This window comes from Homo sapiens, chromosome 6 (assembly GCF_000001405.40).
Source record: "Homo sapiens chromosome 6, GRCh38.p14 Primary Assembly".
NCBI lineage: Eukaryota > Metazoa > Chordata > Mammalia > Primates > Hominidae > Homo > Homo sapiens.
This window is the reverse complement of record NC_000006.12, coordinates 121,086,145-121,113,984: the sequence shown is the minus strand read 5'-3', so window position 1 is coordinate 121,113,984 and position 27,840 is coordinate 121,086,145. Positions and strand designations below refer to the sequence as shown.

Below are 27,840 nucleotides of genomic sequence, written 5' to 3'. Positions count from 1 at the left end.
TCAGGCTGGTCTCAAACTCCTGACCTCATGATCCACCCACCTCGGCCTCCCAAAGTTCTGGGATTACGGGTGTGAGCCACCAAGTCTCTTTAAAAAGAGACTTTTTAAAAAATGGTGAACAATTATTAGTAAGGTTTCAAAAGTACAGAAGTACAAAAGAAAAATTACAAAAGCACTACCTTTGCTTGATTTATACATAGTTGCATTGTATGTATACTAAAAAGTACAGAAGTTTTTGTAAGACAGAATTAGTTTCAGACAATTATAAACAACTTTTTCATCCATACCAGTAACAAATAGGACATTTGCAAGTTGCTGTTCAGGACTGTCCCATGTCTAATCACCTGGCCCTTGCTCATTAAGTACCAGTAGTGCCCCCTAGTCACTATGACAATCAAAAATAGTCCTACACATTTCCAGAGTGGCCCCTGAGGGAAGTACCACCTCCATTTAGGACCATTAGACTGTTTGAACTCTAAAGGTACTTCTAGACTCAACATTTTGTAAAACTAACCTGTCAACATTCCATGTTTTAGATTAAGTTCAGGAAAAAATGCTTATATTATACGTTTCATCTACAGGATATCATCATGTTGTTCTCTCATTACTGTTTCATCTTCCTTTAAAGTTATCAGTATTTGCCAGATGAATACTGTTAATCCAAATATATCATAATCATCAGAAACATGTATTGAGAGCTAATCTTTCATAAGTGCTCTGTATAACATAGTTATGCTAAAAGAAGTAATTTTAAAACATTCAATGCAAGACCTGATATGTTTTATGTTTTGTGGGCTTTTAATATAGGTATGGCAAATTCCTCAGTCTCTTAAAAGATGGTGCAGAAAATGATCTTACCTGGGTTTTAAAGCATTGTGAGAGATTCCTGAAACAGCAGCAAACTTCCATAAAATCTTCTCTTCATATCCTTTTTGAGTATATTCACAATAGCTTAATTTTTTTCACATATTTTTCATGATTCTTTGATGATATACCTTGACACATTTATAGTAAAGTAGTACTTTAAGCTATATTAGTGATTTGTTATGATATATTCTTACAGTATTTTATTCTGTATTTTAAATATGAATTTTGTTAAATTGAGTTGTAATCATTATATTTAGTCTCATTCATTGAATCTTAAACTGAATAAAGACATTAGAATGTATTTTCAGACATGTCTAAGAATATTTAAAAACTAAGTTTCATAAATTCAGAATAAGAATGTCTGCTTTTTATTTAATATATTCATTTTATTTTATTTACAGAATTTTAATATTTTATCTTACAAAATATTGTAAAGTTTTCTTAACTGTGTTTTTCAGTCTGCCTGCAAGGGAATTATGCTGGCCATGACTGGTTTGTATCTTCTCTGTTCATGATAATGTTGGGAGACAAAGAAAAAACATTCCAATTTCTTCATCAATTCTCCAGGCTTCTGACTTCTGCTTTTCTTTGGTTGCCAAGGCTACATATTTCTGTAAGACTTCAATCTGTTTTTAAAGGAGGGTTTGAAATTTTAAGAACATTATACTTACATTCACTGGGGCATAATTTTATTTGTGAAGGACTTTGTAATAAATTATACTCATTTTTCTACTTGAATGTTTTTTGACTAATTCTCTTTGATTATATAGATTTGATATTTTCTCAAATACTTGGTGTCTTACCTAATAGTAACTGAATGATTTATATTAGAAGCATTTTCATGAAGTAGAAACATGATAATGAAATTAAAATGATAGTTATATCAGTTAAATTCTGCACCTAAAAAGAGAACTATTGACTTGTGTTTTGTATTGTTGCTTGGTTAAAAAGAATCTCTGGCTGATTATGGTATAAGAAAATCATTTATTAGGAAGATATTGTAACTATTTTCTATAGAAAATTATATACATTTTGTAAATCTATACTGAGTGTTTATTAAAGTATCGTAATGTATTTTAAAAGATTTTACTAGTCTTATGCAATCTCAGAGGTTACTTTAGAGGTAAGTATATCCTTCAATCAATTTATAATGTTTATGTTTATTTTATTTATTTGTTTATTGCTTGCTGTTAAGATTTCCAACTAGGGGAAACTGCCAAAAATATCAGCTATGCTAATGTTTCTCAAACCTTTTCCATGACATGTTGCATTTGGACAGTGAAATCACATGACAGTCAAGGATAAACTAAGGAGATTGGCAAGTATCTATGTGGAGATGAAAATATTCATTAGGTGTTTTTTACAATATATATTTGTGATAAGGAAAATAAAATCAATTCATCATGGAATACAATAAATATTAAAATTTTATAATGTTATGCTTCAAGTAGCTATATACAGTTACTTAAAAAGATCATCCAATTCTTGTTCTTCACCATAATGAGAAATTTTCCTCCCATGAACACAGAGAAACTAATGGCAAAAAAAGCATGCACTAGTTTTTCTGCAATCAGTAGAACTATTTTCCTGCTGTTAACCAGAATTTGAGTAATTCTATTCCTTTAAACTGTACTTGAAGATTTTAAAAAATCTAACAGCCTTTTCTCTTTTTCACTTTCAAATGTAATGTTGAAAATCTTTTGATAATGGGTATGGATTTTGTGTCCAATCATTCATTCTTCTGTGAAATATTTTAAAGTAATGTCTACATTCCACTAGTCTTAACAGTTCTGCCTTTAGTGTTCAGATTATGACACCATCTAAACATCACCAGTGAATCATATTGAACCATAATTTTGTAAAGTTGCATTTATACTTTGAGCCTATAAAATCGTACTTTTTTTCATAACATCAATGATCTTGTGTTCTGATAGCATTTCTTTCTATAAAACTGAAAACAAGCAGGACTCCAGCAGCTTGAATTTTATTTGACTTACCATTTTGATAGCATCATTGAATATGGAATATATGAATGGAAGGGAGTGACACATTACTGGCTCGGGGTTTTCGGAATGATCTCTTGATGTAAAGCCTTGACACCTTTCTACTGATGCAGCTACACTGTCAGTGAAGACTTAATGCAGTGCCTTCCATAGCATCATTTTTTCTTTTCAATTACAAATACATCAAGTTGAATGTTTTATTACCAGTAGTTTGTTTTGATGCTTCTTTGTAAAACAGATGACATGCTGTTAAGATTCCTCGACAGGAATTCTATCTAGAACTGTTAGCTAAGTGCTGCTACTAATATCTTACATTTATACGACAGTATAAATGTTTTTGACTAACAATCTTTTGAATTGCTATTTCCCCTATGTCACTTGACTTGATAGTACATTCAGTAAGTCTTAATATATTATTTAAAAGTGATACCTTTTCTATTTCATTTGTTCCATTGTCTCAAACATTGTGGTGATGGTTTCTATGCAATTTGATAATATGAACAAATCTGCAGCATGGTGACAGACACATTGGCTATAGCTGTTGATAGTACAAACTTGTCTACCTTCTTTAGCTCAGCCTCACATTATTGTAATCAACCTCAAAAGAAATCAACCTATTTCCTCAATTCTACTTACCCCAACCTCATTACCCTGTCCTATTTTTTTACCTTTTTTATAGCCTATATCAAGTCCTAATATTTATTTATCTATCTGTACACTTAATGAAAGTCCTTTGAAAACAGTTTTCTGTTTTGTTCATAGATGTGTCCCAAACTATAGGCCCATAGTAATCACTCAATAAATGTATGTTGAGTGTGTAAATTTATATATTTTTATATATATATATAAAATTTTTTTTTTTTTGAGACAGAGTCTCACTCTGTCGCCCAGCCTGGACTGCAGTGGCATGATCTCGGCACACTGCAAGCTCCGCCTCCTGGGTTCACGCCATTCTCCTGCCTCAGCCTCCCGAGTAGCTGGGACTACAGGTGCCTGCCACCACGCCCAGATAATGTTTTGTATTTTTAGTAGAGACCAGGTTTCACCGTGTTAGCCAGGATGGTCTCGATCTCCTGACTTCGTGCTCTGCCAGCCTCGGCCTCCCAAAGTGCTGGGATTACAGGCATGAGCCACATAAATTAATATTTTAATAGAAATATGTAAGGATCTGTAAGCTTTTATTACTCTAGAAAATGTATTTGAAAGATATTAGATCCCCTGCATTCATAAGAATGTTGTAAACAAATGACCTTAAAAAGGTTTAAAAAAAAATAAGCTTAGGATAAGCAAAACAGGAAGTAATGAAAAATTAATTTGAAGTTCTTAAAATTTTATAAACTATGACTATATTACTCATATGAGATAAAAATAGTTTGAAAAATTATCCTTTGAAATCATTTACACCGGAAGAACCCTTTAATGTATTGATTTAATTAAATTATCTTCAATTATTCTTTGCTACTAAGAAAAAAACTTTGTAAATGTTGAAATAGTTATTCTTTATGGAGTTTGATCAAGAATCAGAGTTTGGCCAGTTGTTAACATTGAAGCCATTAATAAAATGATATATTTTAAAAAATCAGGAAATTATTTTCATAGTAGAAATATCTAATTTCAAAGAATAAATTAAAGTAGTGATCATAAATTTCCTTTCTCTGTAAAAGCATATGAAAAAGGAAATCTAATTAAACTGAAATAAAAACCAGAGTATTTTACATGCACATACAAACAAAACTCCACTTATGATAAATCAGGCTAAAGTAATGCTCAAATGAAGTAATATAGTTCAACAGGAAATTCATGCAATAGTTATAATGTAGGGTAATCACTACAGAAGCCTTCCCTTACTCTTCTTAAAATAACAATTACCTAGTTCAGAAAGTTCGTGGATTTAAAAATTCTAATTGTATTCAAGTATAAATTTACATTTAAATTTTACAGTTATTAGAATGGCATGACATACTTGTTACCCCTTTGTAGAACATCAACAAATGTAAGCCATGTGACCAATCACTTGTAGGAAAGATGTCTAGTGTAAAACCCCTTCCCTTTCTTATATGTGACTATAAGTCTTAATCATATTTGCCGATTCAGTTTTCCCATTTTTTTCTGAGAGGAGAAAGATTGATATTATCTAGAATTATAGAATCAAAGTTTTAAAAAATCTGCAAAATTTTTTGTTTACCTCTATGCATGATGCACAAGTTAACTACAACATTGCTGTAAAGCGTGGCACATCCTTAGCCCACAAAGTCTGAAAGATGGAGGACTAGACTGGACCAGACTAGACTGAATCCATTTGAATTGGAGAGTTTCAAATCTTTCTAATGGGGTCTTTCTATTTAATTTTCATAGCAAAGTAGAACTAGTTTTTTTCTTAATATCAGGAATAAAATGACTCCCCAAAAGATCTATAATGGAAGAAAAAAAACTAAGACTGTTATGTTTTTTTTTAAGCATAAATCTTTTATTATTAATCACTAAAGTAATATACAGTATTCTGAAGAGTGTTTTGTTGTAAAGTCCTTGCTTCATGTTATGTCACTTTCTAGGATCTCAAAGCCAATGTCTTTATTGACAATTTTTTTGCACTTTGTCTTAGCGTAGTTTATATATTAGACTATTAATTAGATGATGCTAAATGCTGTTGTCCTGCATGTGTTCCATTAATCCAATATTCTGAATGATAAAGAGTTACTGTCCTTTCAGAGAGTGGTGACTGTCTTTTCAGAGAGTGGTAAACAGGACAGAGAGTTACTGTCCTTTCAGAGAGTGATAAACAAATTACATCAAAACTCTATAAGTATAATAAACAATTTATCATTTGATGATTCAGAAGACCTCGTATTATATTCATGTGACTTAGAGCTCTCACTATTGATCTAGTTTTATGAACAATGTTTACTGTAAAATAGAGGCATGAAATGGTAATTAATAGACCAACTAATGAAACTTTTTATATAAGTGAGCTTACTTTATGACAAAAAGAAAAAACACTAATGATTGCATACTGTGCAGTCTGTGTGTGCAATCATTAGTGTATTTTCTTCTTGGCATTCAGTCAATAATATGTTGAGCATCTATTCTATGCAAGGCTTGGTATCAGGAGCTGTGTTACCACAAAGTATGGCAAACTTTCTTCCAACAGAGTCTAATTTATAAGAGTAGAAGAACTCTTACCTCAATTCAGGGAGTCCATTACATAACAATAACTTATTTTCCTTGAAAATATAATTAATAAATCTATTGTCTTTATCTCTTAATGGACCTACTCTAAAGGTATTTCTAATGTAGCCTAGAAAAGACACTGCATATGAATCATTTCCTATACATAGAACTCTTATGCTACTATTAGACATGTATTCAGAAAATTATTACCTAAGTTTGCATGGAAAAACTAAAATACACTTATGAGTTGATTTTTGTTTTCATATATGCCTATTAGATTTAGTCATTCTACAAATAGTCATTAGTGAAACACATTGCAATATTTCACAAAAGAAGATAAATCAATGGATACTGTTTCTCATTCAGTCCATATTATTATTTTAACAACTCAGTAAAAAGTTTTCTTTTTGTTCTACATATCGATATAAAGTTGGCTACAAGATATCCATTTACTGTGCTATGCTTCATTCATTAATGCACAAAAATAATGTTTTTTTCAAGTGCTGTGAGGTATCTCCTGGAGAAACCTTCATAAATATACATTTACATAAATATTTATGTTTCTACAAATATATATTTCTGCAATGTGAAATAAGTCATTTATGATGAATGATAAAACCGAAAAACCACTGTAAATCAACTTGCTGATTTCAGAAACTTTAGTGTATAACTCAAACCTAAATTCTTAAAAGCATCCTAGCATTAGCAATAAGGCTTTACATAAATCTTCTGTATTTCAACTCATATAATTGCTATGAGTTTAATTTGTTTTAATTTAAAAGCATTAACTTTATTTAAAAAGTTTGAAAATAAGATTTGTCCAGTAAAAGCAAGAAGATAAGATGCCTTTTTGGCAGTCTTTTAACTATGTAAAGTCTTCAGATCTAATTTGATTAACTTTTTTTGTTGATATAATTGCTAGTTGAACAGTTTTTCTTTACCTAAAATTGTATCTTCAGGTTTATTACTCTTTGTTAAAAAACAATTATTATGGGTATATGTTGGCTTTATAGTAATACACAGTACATTATTGATCATTTGCAATGATAAATTGTGCCTAAGAACTAAATTGAAAAAATAAACAATATGTTTGTAAATATAGATGTGTGTATATATTCACATATATATAAGTAACTATCAATATAAAATTATATGGAAATAAACATAAATTTTATACAAAATAGTTGGCCTGAGAACCTTGATGGGAATGCCTTGTGCACTTCTTTCCCAGTTTTAGAGATGAGTTTCTCAAATCATTCCCAATTTGAATTATTATTAATTCAGGGTCAGATTTAGGCTAATATCAACATAGTAAAGGGTACAATGCAAATATCTTCAACAGCTGACAAAGCTAAAATCCTTTGACATTATAGAATCATTGGCCAAAGCCAAGAATATTAAGCATATTTCAGTACACTTAGTATTAAAATGTAAAGTATTACTCGTGTACTCACTTATATGTGTATTTATTCTTTCATGTAACAGCCCTCCTCATCTTTCCACAAGGATTTAAGTTGCCAAGATTATAAATTATTAACTTTTTTCCTGAGTCTTGGAAGGTATATAACACTGCCTTTATCAAAATTTCTTCTTTCAACACTGTTTAACATTCTGACTTTTTACTTTACATAATTTTATTTACAGTGATTTGTTATGCCACCATATTAATTTTGAAGCAGCAATTTACAGCAAAAGGAAAATAGGTATGTTGGATTATTTTAAATGATCTATATTTATTAAATAATAAAATTAATAAAATTTTTAATTTTTCTCTTTTATGCAGAGTTACCTTCCTAATGACACTGTAGAATCTGGCATCCATCCAGTATATTTTTGCAGCACCCATTATATTGAAATGCTACTGAAGGCTGAGTTGCCTCTTGTGTTTTCAGCTTTTCACATGTCTGGTTTTGCACCATCACAGGTAATCCATAAGGGAGTAGCATTTCTCCAACTCCTTTATCTCAGTGTCTTCAAATAAAACTGTGTTCTCATCAAATAAGGAAATACCTTTAAATTAATAAAAGTGTATTTAAAATCCTCAAGCTAGCTTTTCTCCCCAGGCCTGTTATGATGTAAGTTTGCTTTATAATGCTTTCTACCATTCACAGAATTTCAGCTATTCAGGGCATAGACCTTCTGAAAGTCTGTATGACATGTAGGCTTTTTAATGGAGATGGTAATACTTGCTTTGTAATGCCAGTGATTAACTGAGGTAACAGAGGGCAAGAATTCTTACCAGCATTGTTTTGTATATGATATACTGTGTCTTATCTAACAAAAAATCCCCGCGGATTAACCTGTATGCCTCAGCTTGGTTTCTACTGTCGGGATCTAGGAAGGCTTAATGTTTTTTTCTAGGGCCTCAAGTTACACAGTGCACAACCTTGGTGGTCATATACAGCCACAGATCCTTCTTTCTGTGTATAGCCAGTCCTTCGTTGGTGGAGGTGTGCATTGTTGCTTCACTATGTTATAATTAGGCTAAAATTAATATTGTAGGGTTTAAACCTTCATCTCTCTTTAGAATTAAATCTTTAGGTCAGGGTCTGAGAGAGCAGAGATACTTCATCTAAAGTTGTAACTATTAATAGTTTTAAGGCTCGTGACTCATATTATCAAATGAATTTGATTTTATTCTCCTAACGGAAATGAAGACTGTCCCTATTCTTCATGTTTGGGTATTTGGTTTTTTCAAAAATAATCACTAATTTAATAGGTGAAAATTGTTACCCTTTTAAAAATTTTGTGTTTCTTTGAACATTAGTAAGTTTAATGATATGTCCATAATTTTGTTAACTAATTGAATGTCATTAATTGCCCACCTATCTTAGAGTGTTTCTTATTGATTTGTAGATATTTTAAAGTAGCAACAACTGTCCAAATTGCTTCAATTCCTAAATTATATATTACTTATTGTAACTTTGTATTATGTCTTAATGTTGAGTAAGAATAAGCCTATCATTTACTTTCTACTTTCCTCTAAAAAGTTAATTAACTATTTCTGTATATACTACATATACTTTGAGATGAGTTTGCTCAATTTAAACTGGCCATTTAAATTTGGATCAGACTTAGATTGCTATTATGTTAAATTATAAATTACTTGGAGAAAAATTGTGTTATTATACTCAGTCTATCTAGGAAGATAGTAAGCTTTTCCATTTGTTTGTTCTGTATCATATCTAGTAAAACCATTTCTTTTTCCACATGGATATGGTACATTTCTCATTACAGATATTGCCAGTGAGTGTAGTTTGAGATCTGTTTCAATTTTATTTTCTCTTTGCCTATGGTTAATAATTACTAAATATATATCTTTTTATATTCATTGTTATATTTTTTCTAGACTTGTGTCAACTTACTTATCTTCTCCATCTTTGTAATGTTAATGTACTTTGTTTCATTTTATTTTTATTAAATTATCTAGTTCTTCCAAAATAATTCTACATAATTGTTTATATGTTTTAGACTTGAATTATTGAGAATTTATCCAGCATGTTATCGTTAAGTAGAGTCTATTAGAGAGAATTATTCTACATCAGTGCTATAGAAGAATCCTTCCAGTCTTGGTTTCTAAAGTATTGAATTTTATCTCATTTCTTTTAATTAAATTATAGTGTTGAATTTCACCAATATATTCTATGATTAAGATTAAGTTGATCCTGGGACTTCTTTGATATTTTTATGTGATACAGTAATAGACTTCTTAATAGTAAAATATCCTTGCATTCCTTAGATTTATCCTATAGGGAATCTTTTCCACTTAATTAGACAGTAGTTTTTCTTGATATTATGATATGAGCTTTCATATTTATTTTGAAGAAACTTTATATCATTTATTAAATTTATTTGTATGAGATTATTCTTCCTATTTTAAACTTTCTGAAGTTAATAAGAAATTTAAATATAGCAATGAATTGCATGTAGTGTAAAGGAATACTCTTCCTTGGCCAATTTTTGCTCTTGCTATATATACCTAAAACATTTTTTAGAACTTTAAATCACAAAATTTTTTAAGTCTAGTCAGAGGCAGTTGTTTAAACATTTACCATAAGCTCAATAATCAATTCTTTCTATTCTTCTAAAAAGCTCAACTGGGAACAGTATCTTCCTGAGAGTTCCCTTTTGCTTTTCTAATCTACGTTAGTGTAATGTGTATTGTCTAAAGCATCCAATAATTTATAAATCTCTACCATATACTCTTTTGTTATATATTCTTTAAGTTCTAGGGTACATGTGCACAACGTGCAGGTTTGTTATATATGTATACATGTGCCATGTTGGTGTTCTGCACCCATTAACTCGTCATTTACATTAGGTATATCTCCTAAAGCTATCCCTCCCCCCTCCCCCCTCCCTACAACAGGCCCCAGAGTGTAATGTTCCCCTTCCTGTGTCTATGTGTTCTCGTTGTTCAATTCCCACCTATGAGTGAGAACATGCAGTGTTTGGTTTTCTGTCCTTGCAATAGTTTGCTGAGAATGATGGTTTCCAGCTTCATCCATGTCCCTACAAAGGACATGAACTCATCCTTTTTTATGGCTGCATAGTATTCCATGGTATATATGTGCCACATTTTCCTAATCGAGTCTATCATTGATGGATATTTGGGTTGGTTCCAAGTCTTTGCTATTGTGAATAGTGTCGCTATAAACATACGTGTGCATGTGTCCTTACAGCAGCATGATTTATAATCCTTTCAGTATATAACCAGTAATGGGATGGCTGGGTCAAATGGTATTTCTAGTTCTAGATCGTTGAGGAATTGCCACACTGTCTTCCACAATGGTTGAACTAGTTTACAGTCCCACCAACAGTGTAAAAGTGTTCCTATTTCTCCACATCCTCTCCAGCACCTGTTGTTTCTTGACTTTTTAATGATCTCCATTCTAACTGGCATGAGATGGTATCTCATTGTGGTTTTGATTTGCATTTCTCTGATGGCCAGTGATGATGAGCAGTTTTTCATGTGTCTGTTGGCTGCATAAATGTCTTCTTTTGAGAAGTGTCTGTTCATATCCTTCTTTTTGATGGGGTTATTTGTTCTTTTCTTGTAAGTTTGTTTGAGTTCTTTGTAGATTCTGGATATTAGCCCTTTGTCAGATGAGTAGATTGCAAAAATTTTCTCTCATTCTGTAGGTTGCCTGTTCACTCTGATGGTAGTTTCTTTTGCTGTGCAGAAGCTCTTTAGTTTAATTAGATCCCATTTGTCAATTTTGGCTTTTGTTGCCATTGCTTTTGGTGTCTTAGTCATGAAGTCCTTGCCCATGCCTATGTCCTGAATGGTATTGCCTAGGTTTTCTTCCAGGGTTTTTATGGTTTTAGGTCTAACATTTAAGTCTTTAATCCATCTTGAATTAATTTTTGTATAAGATGTAAGGAAGGGATGCAGTTTCAGCTTTCTACATATGGCTAGCCAGTTTTCCCAGCACCATTTATTAAATAGGGAATTGTTTCCCCATTTCTTGTTTTTGTCAGGTTTGTCAAAGATCAGATGGTTGTAGATGTGTGGTATTATTTCTGAGGGCTGTGTTCTGTTCCATTGGTCTGTGTCTCTGTTTTGGTACCAGTACCATGCTGTTTTGGTTACTGTAGCCTTGTAGTATAGTTTGAAGTCAGGTAGCATGATGCCTCCAGCTTTGTTCTTTTGGCTTAGGATTGTCTTGGCAATGTGGGATCTTTTCTGGTTCCACATGAACTTTAAAGTAGTTTTATCCAATTCTGTGAAGAAAGTCATTGGTAGCTAGATGGGGATGGCACTGAATCTATCAGTTACCTCGGGCAGTATGGCCATTTTCACGGTGTTGATTCTTCCTATCCATGAGCATGGAATGTTCTTTCATTTGTTTGTATTCTCTTTTATTTCGTTGAGTAGTGGTTTGTAGTTCTCCTTGACGAGGTCCTTCACATCTCTTGTAAGTTGGATTCCTAGGTATTTTATTCTCTTTGAAGCAATTGTGAATGGGAGTTCACTCAGGATTTGGCTCTCTGTTTGTCTGTTATCGGTGTATAAGAATGCTTGTGATTTTTGTACAATGATTTTGTATCCTGAGACTTTGCTGAAGTTGCTTTTCAGCTTAAGGAGATTTTGGGCTGAGACAATGGGGTTTTCTAAATATACAATCATGTCATCTGCAAACAGGGACAATTTGACTTCCTCTTTTCCTAATTGAATACCCTTTATTTCTTTCTCTTGCCTGAATGCCCTGGCCAGAACTTCCAACACTATGTTGAATAGGAGTGGTGAGAGAGGGCATCCCTGTCTTGTGCCAGTTTTCAAAGGGAATGCTTCCAGTTTTTGCCCATTCAGTGTGATACTGGCTGTGAGTTTTCCATAAATAGCTCTTATTATTTTGAGATACGTCCCATCAATACCTAATTTATTGAGAGTTTTTAGCATGAAGGGCTGTTGAATTTTGTCAAAGGCCTTTTCTGCATCTATTGAGGTAACCATGTGGTTTTTGTCTTTGGTTCAGTTTATGTGATGGATTACATTTATTGATTTTCATATGTTGAACCAGCTTCGCATCCCATGGATGAAGCCCACTTGATCTTGGTGGATCAACTTTTTGATTTGCTACTGGATTTGGTTTGCCAGTATTTTATTGAGGATTTTTGCATCCATGTTCATCAGGGATATTGGTCTAAAATTCTCTCTTTTTGTTGTGTCTCTGACCGGCTTTGATATCAGGATGATGCTGGCCTCATAAAATGAGTTCGGGAGGATTCCCTCTTTTTCTATTAATTGGAATAGTTTCAGAAGGAATGGTACCAGCTCCTCCTTGTACCTCTGGTAGAATTCGGCTGTGAATCCATCTGGTCCTGGACTTTTTTTGGTTGGTAAGCTATTAATTATTGCCTCAATTTCAGAGCCCGTTATTGGTCGATTCAGGAATTCAACTTCTTCCTGGTTTAGTCTTGGGAGGGTGTATGTGTCCAGGAATTTATCCATTTCTTCTAGATTTTCTAGTTTATTTGTATAGAGTTGTTTATAGTATTCTCTGATGGTAGTTTGTATTTCTGTGGGATCGGTGTTGATATCCCCTTTATCATTTTTTATTGCGTCTATTTGATGCTTCTCTCTTTCCTTCTTTATTAGTCTGGCTAGCAGTCTATCAATCTTGTTGATCTTTTCAAAAAAACAGCTCCTGGATTCATTGATTTTTTGAAGGGTTTTTTGTTTCTCTGTCTCCTTCAGGTCTGCTCTGATCTTCGTTATTTCTTGCCTTCTGCTAGCTTTTGAATGTGTTTGCTCTTGCTTCTCTAGTTCTTTTAATTGTGATGTTAGGGTGTCAATTTTAGATCTTTCCTGCTTTTTCTTGTGGGCATTTAGTGCTATAAATTTCCCTCTACACACTGCTTTAAATGTGTCCCAGAGATTCTGGTATGTTGTGTCTTTGTTCTCATTGGTTTCAAAGAACATCTTTATTTCTGAAAGGGATCAATTCAACAAGAAGAGCTAAGTATCCTAAATATATATGCACCCAATACAGGAGCACTCAGATTCATAAAGCAAGTCCTTAGAGACCTACAAAGAGACTGAGACTCCCACACAATAATAATGGGAGACTTTAACACACCACTGTCAACATTAGACAGATCAATGAGACAGAAAGTTAAAAAGGATATCCAGGAATTGAACTCAGCTCTGCACCAATCGGACCTAATAGACATCTACAGAACTCTCCACCCCATATCAGCAGAATATACATTCTTCTCAGCACCACATCGCACTTATTCCAAAATTGACCACATAGTTGGAAGTAAAGCACTCTTCAGCAAATGTAAAAGAACAGAAATTGTAACAAACTGTCTCTCAGACCACAGTGCAATTAAAGTAGAACTCAGGATTAAGAAACTCACTCAAAACCGCTCAACTACATGGAAACCAAACGATCTGCTCCTGAATGACTACTGGGTACATACCATATACTCTTTAATTTAAAACTTGACTAACAAAGACTATGGGAAAACCTTGCTATACCTCAAGCCCTGCTATATTAATTTAGTGATTAAAAAGAGACTATCCATCTAGTAATTGGATATATCTTTATCAGTTTTATATATTTGTATTAGTTTGAAACTACATACAAATAGCAGATTTATTTAATAACAACCACTTCATTATTTTGAAACAGTAATGCTATTCTTTCTTTTAAGGTAATGTAAAAATGTCCTTTTAATGACTCCCCATGTGAGTTAATCTGTCTTAAGAAATCGTATCATTGCTCTGTTGATATTATTTACCATTTTATTGCTAATTATAAAATATGAAAACAGCTTTTAAGTAACTAAGTGGGTATATGTGATTAAGTAATTATTTGGATACAAATTTCATACCTTATTCATTTTGATCTAATTAGAAGCAGTGCTTTTTGAAGTTGTGTATTTTTAGGCACTGAGGAATTGGTTGATTAGTGAAGGATTTGTAGGCAGATTGCTAAATGAAATACACAGATCTCTAAAGTAAAAATAAGCTCAACTAGAGTACAAAAAATTAAATGTAGCAAGAAATGCATATTTGTTGTATAGTTTCTTTTGGTAATTACTAAGTTTGGAAAGAAAATAGAAATTTGAATATATATTATTTTTAAATGAGCAACAGAAAATCACATATTCTAATTAACTTTATGACCAATTTTATCTTCTGTTAAAAAAAGTCTTACTGTATTTTGTTCATTTTCCTGGCTTAAGAAGTACCATGTATCTTTAATGATTCATCTTTTATAATTCCTTGGAGTCACTATCCTGCACATCTTTGATTATTATATTGTACTATGTCAACAATTAGGCTAACACAGATAATCCCCTGGATATAAAGTATAAAAACCTGCATGGATTTTCTCATTTGCTCTTTTTCCCCCTATTATGAAAGCAGGATTATAGAAAACTGTTTCATTATTTTTTTGTGACACATTGCTTTTTGAAAATGTAAAATTATACAAATGCAAAGCAGGATATGAATGCTGGGCATGGCCCTTGTTCAGAGTCAGATTTATAAAGGCATATGTCTTTATAAATGTGTATGTCTTCACTCTCTTCATGTTTTGGATGTTGCGCCTTGAGATGATACCTTCTCCCTTCCTGTGAGTTATTTTTGCTTGTCAGTACTTATCCTTTAATATATGTCCAAATGGAAATATCCTGGATCATATACAAGTGGATGATTTTGCTCTGTGTTTGTACACTGCTTTGTACACACTTTGTACACTGCTTCTGTACCCCTCTTTTAGTAGAAACACATGTGCATTATTTGTATTCTTTGTCTTGCTCTTTTTAGTTGAAGATCTTTAAAGGTATGGATATATATGTGCCTCACTTCAGGTCCCTTGATTTTCTGACACAGTGTTTTGCCTAGAAGTGCAACAGAAATAGTCTTACGTTTTTCATGTTGCTTCATAGTATAAAGAGTGGTTCTTTTTTCATTTAAAATTTTAACCTTTATTGTGTGACACATGGAGAAATTCACGATCAATGAAGTGAATTGACTTGCGGAGGTCATTCCGATAGTGTAAGGACTTGAAACCACTTTTATTCCAAAGTTAGTTTTCTTCCTTACTTTACTGGTACTTCTTCTATGATGAAAGCAGATGAAGCCAGAGGAGTTGTTAAAAATAGTGTCTTTGAATCAGAAAACTTTATCATTTATAAATCATACCTATTTTGGCTTAATCAAGCATCTGTAGGTAATTGTTTTAACCAAACTTTTTTGACTTAATGTTTTATTATTATTATTATTATTATTATTATTCTACTTTAAGTTCTGGGATACATGTGCAGAACATACAGGTTTGTTACATAGGTATACATATACCATGGTGGTTTGTTGCACCCATCAACCCATCATCTACATTAGGTATTTCTCCTAATGCTCTCCCTCCCCTAGGCCCCCACTCCCCAATAGGCCCCAGTCTGTCATGTTCCCCTCCCCTGTGTCCATGTGTTCTCATTGTTCACCTCCCACTTATGAGTGAGAAGATGCAGTGTTTAGTTTTCTGTTCTTGTGTTAGTTTGCTGAGAATGATGGTTTCCAGCTTCATCCATGTCCCTACAAAGGACATGAACTCATCCTTTTTATGGCTGCATACTATTCCATGGTGTATATGTGCCACATTTTCCTAATCCAGTCTATTATCATTGATGGAAATTTGGGTTGGTTCCAAGTCTTTGCTATTGTGAATAGTGCCGCTATAAACATACGTGTGCATGTGTCTTTATAGCAGCATGATTTATAATCCTTTCAGTATATAACCAGTAATGGGATGGCTGGGTCAAATGGTATTTCTAGTTCTAGATCCTTGAGGAATCTCCACACTGTCTTCCACAATGGTTGAACTAATTTACACTCCCACCAAAAGTGTAAAAGTGTTCCTATTTCTCCACATCCTCTCCAGCATCTGTTGTTTCCTGACTTTTGAATGATTGCCATTCTAACTGGCATGAGATGGTATCTCATTGTGGTTTTGATTTGCATTTCTTTAATGACCAGTGATAATGAACTTTTTTTCATATGTTTGTTGGCTGCATAAATGTCTTCTTTTGAGAAGTGTCTGTTCATATCCTTTGCCCACTTTTTGATGGGGTTGTTTTTTCTTGTAAATTTTTTTGAGTTCTTTGTAGATTCTGGATATTAGCCCTCTGTCAGATGGATAGATTGCAAAAATTTTTTCCCATTCTGTAGGTTGCCTATTCACTTTGATGATATTTTCTTTTTCTGTGCAGAAGCTCTTTAGTTTAATTAGATCCCATTTGTCAATTTCGGCTTTTATTGCCATTGCTTTTGGTGTTTTAGTCATGAAGTCCTTGCCCATGCCTATGTTCTGAATGGTATTGCCTAGGTTTTCTTCTAGGGTTTTTATAATTTGAGGTCTTATGTTTAAGTCTTTAATCAATCTTGAGTTAATTTTTGTATAAAGTATAAGGAAGGGGTCCAGTTTCAGTTTTCTGCATATGGCTAGCCAGTTTTCCCAGCACCATTTATTAAATAGGGAATCCTTTCCCCACTGCTTGTTTTTGTCAGGTTTGTTAAAGAACAGATGGTTGTAGATGTGTGGTGTTATTTCTGAGGCCTCTGTTCTGTTCAATTGGTCTATATATCTGTTTTGGTACCACTACCATGTTGTTTTGGTTACTGTAGCCTTGTAGTATAGTTTGAAGTCAGGTAGCGTGATGCCTCCAGCTTTGTTCTTTTGGCTTAGGATTGTCTTGGCAATGTGGGATCTTTTTTGGTTCCGTATGAACTTTAAAGTAGTTTTTTCCAGTTCTATGAAGAAAGTCATTGGTAGCTTGATGGGAATAGCATTGAATCTATAAATTACTTTGGGCAGTATGGCCATTTTCATGATATTGATTCTTCCTATCCATGAGCATGGAATGTTTTTCCATTTGTTTGTGTCCTCTCTTATTTCCTTGATCAGTGGTTTGTAGTTCTACTTGCAGAGGTCCTTCACATCCCTTGTAAATTGTATTCCTAGGTATTTTATTTTCTTTGTAGCAATTGTGAATGGAAGTTCACTCATGATTTGGCTCTCTGTTTGTCTGTTATTGGTGTATAGGAATGCTTGTGATTTTTGCATGTTGATTTTGTATCCTGAGACTTTGCTGAAGTTGCTTATCAGCTTAAGGAGATTTTGGGCTGAGATGGTGGGGTTTTCTAAATGTACAGTATCACCATTGATCCCACAGAAATACAAAGTACCATCAGAGAATATTATAAACACCTCTACACAAATAAACTAGAAAATCTAGAAGAAATGGATAAATTCCTGGACACATACACCCTCCCAAGACTAAACCAGGAAGAAATTGAATCCCTGAATAGATCAATAATAAGTTCAAAAATTATGGCAGTAATTAATACCCTACCAACCAAAAAAAGTCCAGAACCAGACCAATTCACAGCCGAATTCTACCCAGAGGTACAAAGAGGAGCTGGTGCCATTCCTTCTGAAACTATTCCAAACAATAGAAGAAGAGGGAATCCTCCCTAACTCATTTTATAAGGCCAGCATCATCCTGATACCAAAACCTGGCAGAGACACACACAAAAAAGAAAATTTTAGGCCAATATGCCTGATGAATATCGATGCAAAAATCCTCAATAAAATACTGGCAAAGCAAATCCAGTAGCACATCGAAAAGCTTATCCACCACAATCAAGTCGGCTTCATCCCTGGGATGCAAGACTGGTTCAACATACGCAAATCAATAAATGTAATCCATCACGTAAACAGAACTAATGACAAAAACCACGATTATCTCAATAGGTGCAGTAAAAGCCTTCGACAAAATTCAGCACCCCTTCATGCTAAAAACTCGCAATAAACTAGGTATTGATGGAACGTATCTCAAAATAATAAGAGCTATTTATGACAAACTCACAGCCAATATCATGCTGAATGGGCAGAAACTGGAAGCATTCCCTTTGAATACCAACACAAGACAAGGATGTCCTCTCTCACCACTCCTATTCAACATAGTGTTGGAAGTTCTGGCCAGGGCAATCAGGCAAGAGAAAGAAATAAAGGGTATTCAAATAGGAAAAGAGGAAGATGTAATGTTCTTATGAGAACCTTTGAAGATTGTTTTTTAATTCTAGTTACAAGGAGGAATAATTTACCTCAGATAAAATAATGTGCACCTCAGTGTGGCATCTTAATGTCCTCTGGCATAATGTTAAGTATGGTTCAAGAACAAAATTGCCTAGGAAAGCTGTGGTAGATTTCAATGCATATTGTGCAAGTGATTTTCCTTCCTTACAAACCTAAAAAGCTATTTAAATGTCTTAAAGTGTAATTAGTTCTATATTATTTATGGAATGGTGGTTTACCATAAAACAAAATTCATTTGTTTCACTTTCTTTATAAGCCCATTTCATTACTATTGATAATAGCATTTTTTTCCAGTGAATATAAAGACTCAACTGATCGTTTTTGAAAATGTAATAATGTATTTTTGAGACATATAAATGGTAATTTGTCATTTTCTGGCAGAATTACATGTCTATTTATTGTTTAACACAGCAGACTCATTTGTAGAGCTCTAACCGAGGAATACACTGGGAAAAAAATTTGAAAATACGTATCCACAAATATGTTATTATAGTATTCTTTATAGTATCTAAAGACTAGAAACACTGCAAATGTCCATGAATGGGGCTTGATTGAATAAATTGTGGTTTATCTACAATGGAATATTATGCAGTTGGAGGAAACATCTTTAGTAGGAGAAAGGGATGGAGGAAAGGAGGGGAACCTATAGGAGAAAAGTAACTTAAGACACAAATCAACCAAGCAAAATTTGAAATTGTCTAGTTCATGTACTATTCTATCTTCCTTTATATATGTTTTTAAAAATTCCATAATAATTGTTAAAGAAAAAACTACATCATGTTTGTTTGGACACATACTATTTCTTCTGTCCTATTAGAATTCTAGGTTGTCAGTTGATTTGCAGAACTTTATAAAAATACAGAAGTGGCCAGGTGTGGTGGTTCATGCAGGTAATCCCACCACTTTGGGAGGCTGAGATGGATGGATCACTTGAGGTCAGGAGTTTGAGACCAGCCTGACCAACATGGTGAAACCCTGTCTCTACTAAAAGTACAAAAATTAGCTGGGGTCTTGGCACACACCTGTAATCCCACCTACTCAAGAGGCTGAGGCATGAGAATCATTTGAACTCAGGAGGCAGAGGTTGCAGTGAGCTGAGATTGCACCACTGCACTCCAGCCTGGGTGATGGAGTGAGACTGTCTCAAAAAAAAAAATACAGAAGTTACTTGCTCAGAGATTAAAATTTATGACTCATAGCTCAGCATTCTTCCAGGGATATGGTGTTTTGGAATTCTGCTGTTTCAATGTAAGTCTGAAGTACTTGCAAATATAGTAAAGCCAATATAATTTCTACCAAGCAAAGAGGGTCATATGTTTAAAAAGGATGTCTCCCCTTTAATTGTAAACTTTGTGAAACTGGGATAAATTTCTTTTGTTCACATAAAAAATGATAATATTACCTTGTACATATTAGGTGGTCAAAAAATATTTGTTAAATAATAACATCTATACCTTTGTTATAAAATAACATTTATATAGCACTTTTTCAAAGTACTTTCTGTTACAGTCTCTCAGTTTTCCTCCTCGAAATTTCCCTCCCATGTGATGGAAAAATATAGGTATTATATCCATTTAATGAAGAAAAAGACAATGTACAGGAAACAATGCTTGAATGTATATACATGCCAAAAAATTATAACTGCATTAGAAACTATGTATAATAATGAACTGTTGCAGATTCTAGGGTGACTTTCCTTTAACCAATGCATATGGTGGACAGAAGCTGAGACCCCACACCTTTATCAACTTCCCATTCACTCCTGAAACTAACAATTGAGTGGGAACTGTTTTCTCTAGCTGTGGAGATCGTTTGTATTTATTTTCATTCTCGAATTGTTTCTCCTTCGTTATCCATCCAGAGACTCTAGATTTTCATTAACACAGTATGGCCTTAAGTTGATTGGCATTAATAGCTGTAGCAAAGAACAGAGAGAGAATCTTGGCAGCAGGGCAACAGGCAATTAAGGAATTATTGCTTCTAGTCAAAGTACTACTGACTGCTTCAGTCTGCCTAGTCGAGAGGGAGCAGGAGATACTTCTTCCTCAGTCCACTAGAGCCATATTACAGGGATTTATTGGGGTCTGGGCAATGGAGATTTAGTAACGTACTCTGCATGCCAACCTACCCTCCATGTTGCAATTTGGGAGATGCATCCTATTAATTCCAAGTAAACAGTAAAGTAGGACCAAGGAGAATTTAATATATACTGCCTGTTGACAAATATTGGGTATTCATAGATATATTCTAATTTAATATTGAGTTAAAACTTATGGGCTCTTTGGAAAGATTTTGGAACTTAACAGGAGGGGAACATTATAGTTGTAAAGGAAACTCTTAACACCTGAGAACAGAATTAATAGCCTTATTTAAAGGTTAATAATTGATATGAGTAATAATGTCTGGAAAACAAAAATTCAATAATACCCTCTGGTATAGGCTGAATTGTGTCTGTTCAAAACTCACCTGTTGAAATCCTAACCCCACTACTTCAGAATGTGACTATATTTGAATAGGGCCTTTAAAGAAGTAATTAAGTTAAAATGAGGTCATTAAGTTGGACCGTAATCCAATATCACAAGTGTCTTTATTAAAGCGGAAATTGGGACACAGACATGTACTAAGGGAAGTCCATGTGAAGACACAGGGAAAGACAACCATCTATAAGCCTCAGAGAGGCTTCAGAAGAAACCAGCCCTGCCAATAGCTTGATCTTGGATTTTTCCAGAATAGTGAGAAAATAATTTTTTATTGTTTAAGCCCCCCCTGCCTGTGGTTCTAGCAAACTAATACGTGTTAGTTTGTTCAAGTCAGTTAAAAGCAGGATCAGCATGCCAAAAGGTTGAATCAAGGATATAAAAAACAACTTTTAGAACCTTTTCAAGAATATGTTTTTAGAAAAACAAAATGATAGAAAACAAAAGGAAATTTTGTATATCTGTATCCTCTATACCTATGACAAATTGAGATAAGCCATTAAATCTTTTCCCTTTTCCTCCCCACATCTCCAAAAAAAAAAAAAAAAAAAAAAAAAAAAAACATAAAACTGAAGGAGAAGAGATATTCAATAAGGGGAATCTTTTGTCGAAGGTAAAGTAATTTGTAAATCATAAATGAAAATGAAAATATTGGAAAGTAGTTGTGTTTGTTTCTTATGACTATAGTAACAAAGTACCATGAACTTGGTGGCTAAAAACAACAGAAATTTATTTTCTCACAGTTCTGGAGCCAAAAGGCCATAATCAAAGTGTTAACAAGGCTATGTTCACTCCATAGTTGCTAAGGAAAGAACTGTTACTTACCTCTCTCCTGGTTTCTAGCAGCCTTTAGAATCTTAGCTTGCAGATACATATTGCTTCTTCACATGGTGTTCTCCATTTGTGTCTTTTCATTGTCTTCCTTTTGTCTGCCTGTCTTTGTGACTGTATTTCCCCTTCTTATAAAGACACCAGTCGTATTGGATTAGGGCTCACCGTAATGACCTCATTTTAACCTGATTACGTCTGTAAAGACCCTATTTTCGAATAAAGTTGTATTATGAGGTTCTGGGGGTTAGGGCTTTGACATATCTTTTGAGTGGGGCTCAACTTTACCCATAACATTGATGTATCAAAATGTTTCCAGTATTTATAATCTCTGTGTCATTGCTATTGTTTTTTCTGAAACTTTCCTGTTTTCCACAGTGGGCACGCATTGCTTTTATAATCTGAACAAATGTTATTCAAAAAATAAACAGGAAAAAAAATTCCTTTTGTAAAAGTCTCATTTTTAAAATATTCTCTGCATTAGCTCCCAGATTTTATGTTATGTAATTCCGTTAGGTTTAAATTGTTTTCTGATTCAGGAAGAGTCCATTTGCATTAATGTAACATTTAGCAATCTGTCATCTGCATAATTATACATCTGTGGTTGTAGGTAGTATAGAAAAAAAAAACTCCCATCTCTGAATTAAAATAGTCTCTTAGCATTTGTTATCTGTAGAGAGCAGATTGGTGTTTTGGGTAAGAGGAGCACAATAAGAATAAAAAAGGCATTGAGTAATAGGTATATGAGGAGTGTGACCACTATCAGTTACCCTTAAGGCCTGAATTCCAAGGCCATGAAAGTTTTTTTCACAACTGAAGCAAATAGGAGAAGCATCCTTTTTAGGCATCTATGAAGACTGTCTTTGTATTTTGATTAAGCCCTAAGCTTTTCACTGGTTTTGTATGAGTTATTGGTTAATGTTTTTTAAAAGTCAAATGTGGTTTTATAAATTTTTTAATGAACTTACTACTTTTTTTTTTTAAAGATTTGCCTGCAATGGATAACCCAGTGTTTTTGGAATTACTTAGATTGGATAGAAATCTGCCATTATATTGCTACTTGTGTTTTCCTTGGTCCTGATTATCAAGTGTATATCTGTATAGCTGTATTCAAACATTTACAGCAAGACATTCTACAGCACACTCAGACTCAAGATCTGCAAGTTTTCCTAAAAGTAAGTATGTTTATATGGAGAGGAAAATGTTGAGTTAATAGCTAACTTTGGTTGCTTAATATTAGATACTTTTTCTAGGCACTCATTTAATCCTAAAAACCAATGGTGAGAGGTAGATACTATTATCATCCCCATTTTAGAGATGAGTAAACTGAGGCACAGAGTTAAGTTGCCCCAAACCGTATAGCTAAAGTGGAACTGGAATATGAAATAAGCTGTCTGGATCCAACACTTTGTAACCCACATGCTATGCCAAAAAAGAAATATTGTAAAAATATTCCTATGGGCTATTTGGTCAATAAAAGTTTAATTTATTGGTTTGATACTTTTTAAATATATTTAATATATTAATTTCCTATGCTTTCATATTTTTATATTTTTCTAAACTTCCATTTTTATAAAAGATTTTCATGAAAGATTATTTTATCATAGCACTCATTTTAAAAAGTTATCACCAAATGTGGTGCTATTTTTAAAAAAGATATAGTTACTTTCTCAATTACAATAATGTCATTTTGGAAGTTGGGGACTTTAGAAAGTACATGAGATATAAATACATCCCAGTGTTCATTTTTTGGTGGAAATCTAGCTATTTGTTTACAGTTAAGAATCTTTGAACTTGGCTGGGCACAGTGGCTCACGCCTGTAATCCCAGCACTTTGGGAGGCCGAGACGGGCGGATCACAAGGTCAGGAGATCGAGACCATCCTGGCTAACACGGTGAAACCCCGTCTCTACCAAAAATACAAAAAATTAGCTGGCTGTGTTGGCGGGCGCCTGTAGTCCCAGCTACTCAGGAGGCTGAGGCAGGAGAATGGCGTGAACCCAGGAGGCGGAGCTTGCATGAGCCGAGATCGCACCACTGCACTCCAGCCTGGGGGACAGAGTGAGACTCGTCTCCAAAAAAAAAAAAAAAGAATCTTTGAACTTAAAATGTTTCCTTATCCCTACTACCTTTGCCATCCCACAGGAACACATATACACGTATACACTAAAAACAACATTCATCATTTGCTAGGCTTTCTCTAGGTCAACAAACAGTTTCTATGTAAATTAATTTTATTTTTTACCATTAAATACCTGCCAGGGTTATTTTCCATTTAACGATATTTTTCTTTAAATAAATACCATTGATCATTTAAGATTGCCAAATTATCATTTTTATTTCATCAATTCAGAATTCAAAAGGTTTTAAACTTTCGATATATATCACTAGATTAGAAACAGTCTTAATGAAAAAGTATGCTGAGAAAAATGATTGCACATGTAGAGGAAAAACTAAGATAGAAAAATAAAAGAATGCTCTCTAAGAGGTGATTTGGAATACAGGAAGTGTTAAGCAAATTGAAATTATGTTGAATACAAAATGTAGGTTCATTTTCAGTAAGGGACGTTTTCATCATCTATAGTGGTCAGTTATAGGAATTTCAGAGTCTGAAATTTTCCTGTACTCTTATCTGTCTGTATCCCCCAACCCATAATTCTCTAACATCTTATCCTACTTTAGTTTTTCTCACAGTTTTTATCACCATCCGAAATTATTTTATATGTGTTTTTGTCTGTCTTCTCTGGTAAAATGTGTAAGCTCTATAAGGACTGTGACTTGGTCTGTTTCATTTACTGATGTATTTTCAACAATATATCAAACAATACCTGGTAGATAATAGGTATTCAATACATATTTGTTGATTGTGTAAGTAAATAATGTAAATAAATAAATGGGAAAGATGAATAAACTTTGTTTTATTCACATCAAATAACAAACATTACTAAATTCATTAAGTGCCTACCACTTATTTTTCTTCCTATCAAAAGCATCATCTTTAAATTTGATTAATGTTGATTTACAGTTTCATCTCTCTTTTGACTATTTGAGGGAAAAATTATAATAGAGTTTGCAAATATTAACCTCTTTAAATGTTCCCAAACCATTCTCCATTGTGTTTTCAGCATAATGCTGTCAGTTTAAAACTAAAGGATTAAATGGGGAGAGGAGATTATGACCTAAGCCTCTGTTAAATTACTAAAATTTGAATAGCGTTGGTTTAAATCCAAACTAAGAACATGTAGGCAAGGAATTAATTTTAGCGTGTGTCCTAGAACTAACCTTACTTTTTACCCTTGTTGTTTTCATTTATCTGAGAGATTAGGACAAATGTTTTTTTGATAGATACCATAACTTTACTTTTTTTGTTGTTTTATTTTCAGTGGGTAGGTGTCAAAATTCACTGTTCTCTTTTAATGGGCACTCATTTTTCTTGTGAGATAAACTCTGGTATAGTTTATTTAAATATGTATTTACATATCCCTTTAACTACTCCATTTGGCCCTGAAATAGTCTCTTGTCTGTGAAGTATATATGTACAGCATTTTTCACTTATTCATATAATAACCAATAATGAAGTATTGATTAATGAACTGATTTTATTTTGCCTACCCTAGAAACATCCCCTGTCAAAAATACTCACATGATTTAAGAATTCCTCATTCAACTGAAGCTATAGAGATTGAACCTTGGAAATTATGTTTTACACTTTCCTATTCAAAATCTCAGATTTGTACAGAGGGAAAAAAGACTTATCAATAATTCTTTATATAGGCCAGGTGCAGTGGCTCACACGTGTAATCCCCATATCTTGGGAGGTCAAGGCGAGAGGATAGCTTGAACTCAGGGGTTTGAGACCAGCCTGGGCAACATGGCAAAATCCCATCTCTACCAAAAAAAAGTACAAAAATTAGCTAGGTGTGGTGGCACACACCTATAGTCCCAGCTACTGAGGAGGCTGAGGTGGGAGGATCAATTGAGCCCAGGAGGTCGAGGCCGCAGTGGGCCATGATTGTACCAGTGCACTCCAGCCTGGGCTACAGAACAAGACCCTGTCTCAAAAAAAAAAAAAAAAAATTCCCCATGTAACTGCATACCACAGCCATAATAATATTCTTGTATAGATTATTTAATCACATTATCCCCTCGCTCTACATATTTAATAATGATTGCTTCCAAGAAGAATGAAGATAAAGTAAAACAAGATACTTCTACTTTTTGTTGTAAATATTTATGTGGGCTTTATTTTATATTTGAGGAATGAGCTCATACTTCTTTTATCATAAAACTATTTTTAAGAAGAAATTGAATAAGTATATAAAAATAAATAGATCAAGCATCTGACTGTTATAAATGAGTTCAAATAATCGGGCCTAACAGAATTCATTTTCAAAATATTGAAAACCACAAATATGTTATACTTTCAGTTATTATCAGTTGTATTGAGGAAGTGAAGATACACAATTCTTTTCCTGATTTAAATTTCATGTATTGAGATAAAATGACATGATAAAAGCATTGTTTTAGAAATAAAAATCTGTGTGCAATATTCAGTATCAAGAAAATATCAGTCCATTTGTAGTCACTTTGGTTTAGGCTCAAGATTTTAAATGAGGTAATTGAGGATATAGACTTATTGCCTACATTTCTAATAGGTCACTAAAGAGCTCTTCATGATTCCAAATCAATATATTAAAAAGATAAGTTGGAATTTCTTGGATCAGAAGGTGGTGTGAACACTAATAGGCAGAACTGGTTTATGGGGGAAAGAAAAACTTATTTTTCCTCTTCAGATTAGACCACTGAAAGATTAGATGAACGCCTTGGGTATAAGTTGATATCAACAAAACATTGTCTGATTGTTTCACAGTATCCTTTTAGACACAACAAGAATGTGGGCTGGATATTAGAGCAGTTAACTGCATCATTTTCATGCTGTGGTGATTAATGGATTAGTACCGAGCTAGAAGGCAGCCTCTGAAGATATGCTGAAGAAAGAGCTCAGTCCTTGGGCCCGGAATTCTAAACATTTTTATCTGTGACAGATGATGGTTCAGAAAGTCTGTAGATATTTCCAAGGGGAAAAACATCCAACAAAGTAAATATTCTGTAATATCCCAGCAACTGGGATATTCTTTCAACTCATCTGTAGCGCGCATACACACACACAAACAGGTTTAGTGACAGTTTAATAGTAGTTCATATGTGGATGTCCTAGTGTTTTAGTGAGCTGTGTTGTATTCTTCTCTAACATGCTAATAGGCTGTCAGCAATCTTGGCTTTAGTTTGTGAATTCAACCTGGGGACAAACTTCACTGACATACCAGCCTAGAAAAAGATTGCCTTTCTGTGAAAATCAGGTTGTGAAGCCTTAAAATACTTAATTAAAATGCATCAACTAAATCTTGCATATTGTAACAAAATCAATTTATAATTATGAAAAAATCAGATTAATTTCAACTCAATCAGTAAATTGTCAAGAGGGATTTTTTGTTGGTGCTATTGCAGCTGCTATTACCAGAGAATGTTGACAGGGTGAGAAATGAAGATCGGACTGAGAAAATCTGATTGAATACTAAGCTTTTATAAGATAAAAGTATACATAATATTTAAAACAGTTCACCATCTGAGCAAATATTTTAAAGGTATTCAGTACACTGTCAGCTGTGTTTTGCAGATACGTTTTCTGCATTGTCCTTATATTACTTGATTCTATCTGGTTTCAAATTCTAACTTTGCCACTCACTGTGTGAGCTCGAGTACATTGCTTAGACTTTTATGCTTGTTTCTTCATCACATAGGGTTGTTGAAGAATTAAATGAGATGATATTTGTAAAATACTTTTAGACCATTATCTGGAACATAGTAAGTACTTAAAAAAAC

At 33.5% G+C, this 27,840-nt stretch overlaps 1 protein-coding gene across 14 annotated transcripts in view, besides 2 other annotated features; it reads left to right on the top strand.

Moving 5' to 3' along the window:
• TBC1D32 (TBC1 domain family member 32) overlaps window positions 1-27,840 on the top strand; it is a 255,236-nt gene that overhangs the window by 220,745 nt on the left and 6,651 nt on the right. For 13 of the 14 annotated variants that reach the window (NR_104452.2, XM_047418311.1, NM_001367759.1 and 10 more), the window contains 4 exons: window positions 808-923; window positions 1,326-1,480; window positions 7,822-7,962; window positions 22,944-23,132. Coding sequence is in view for 13 of the 14 variants with exons in the window: in XM_047418311.1 (XP_047274267.1) it covers window positions 808-923; window positions 1,326-1,480; window positions 7,822-7,962; window positions 22,944-23,132 (601 nt within the window). In the remaining variant the exon portion in view is untranslated. Of the gene's footprint in view, window positions 1-807; window positions 924-1,325; window positions 1,481-7,523; window positions 7,598-7,682; window positions 7,742-7,821; window positions 7,963-22,943; window positions 23,133-27,840 lie in introns of those variants that run through there. The other variant, XM_047418312.1, reaches the window with a different exon arrangement.
• Window positions 19,746-19,915: an enhancer, noted in NCBI's record as "experimental_88787 CRE fragment used in MPRA reporter constructs". NCBI's record gives its function as "activates a minimal promoter by MPRAs in K562 erythroleukemia cells, with activity observed for the introgressed 6:121415301 or rs76392801 variant allele {active_cell/tissue: K562}" and the evidence as "EXISTENCE:reporter gene assay evidence [ECO:0000049][PMID:34662402]".
• Window position 19,830: a transcriptional cis regulatory region, noted in NCBI's record as "Neanderthal adaptively introgressed variant 6:121415301 (GRCh37/hg19 assembly coordinates) or rs76392801 in the experimental_88787 CRE". NCBI's record gives its function as "modulates activity of the experimental_88787 enhancer by MPRAs in K562 erythroleukemia cells {active_cell/tissue: K562}" and the evidence as "EXISTENCE:reporter gene assay evidence [ECO:0000049][PMID:34662402]".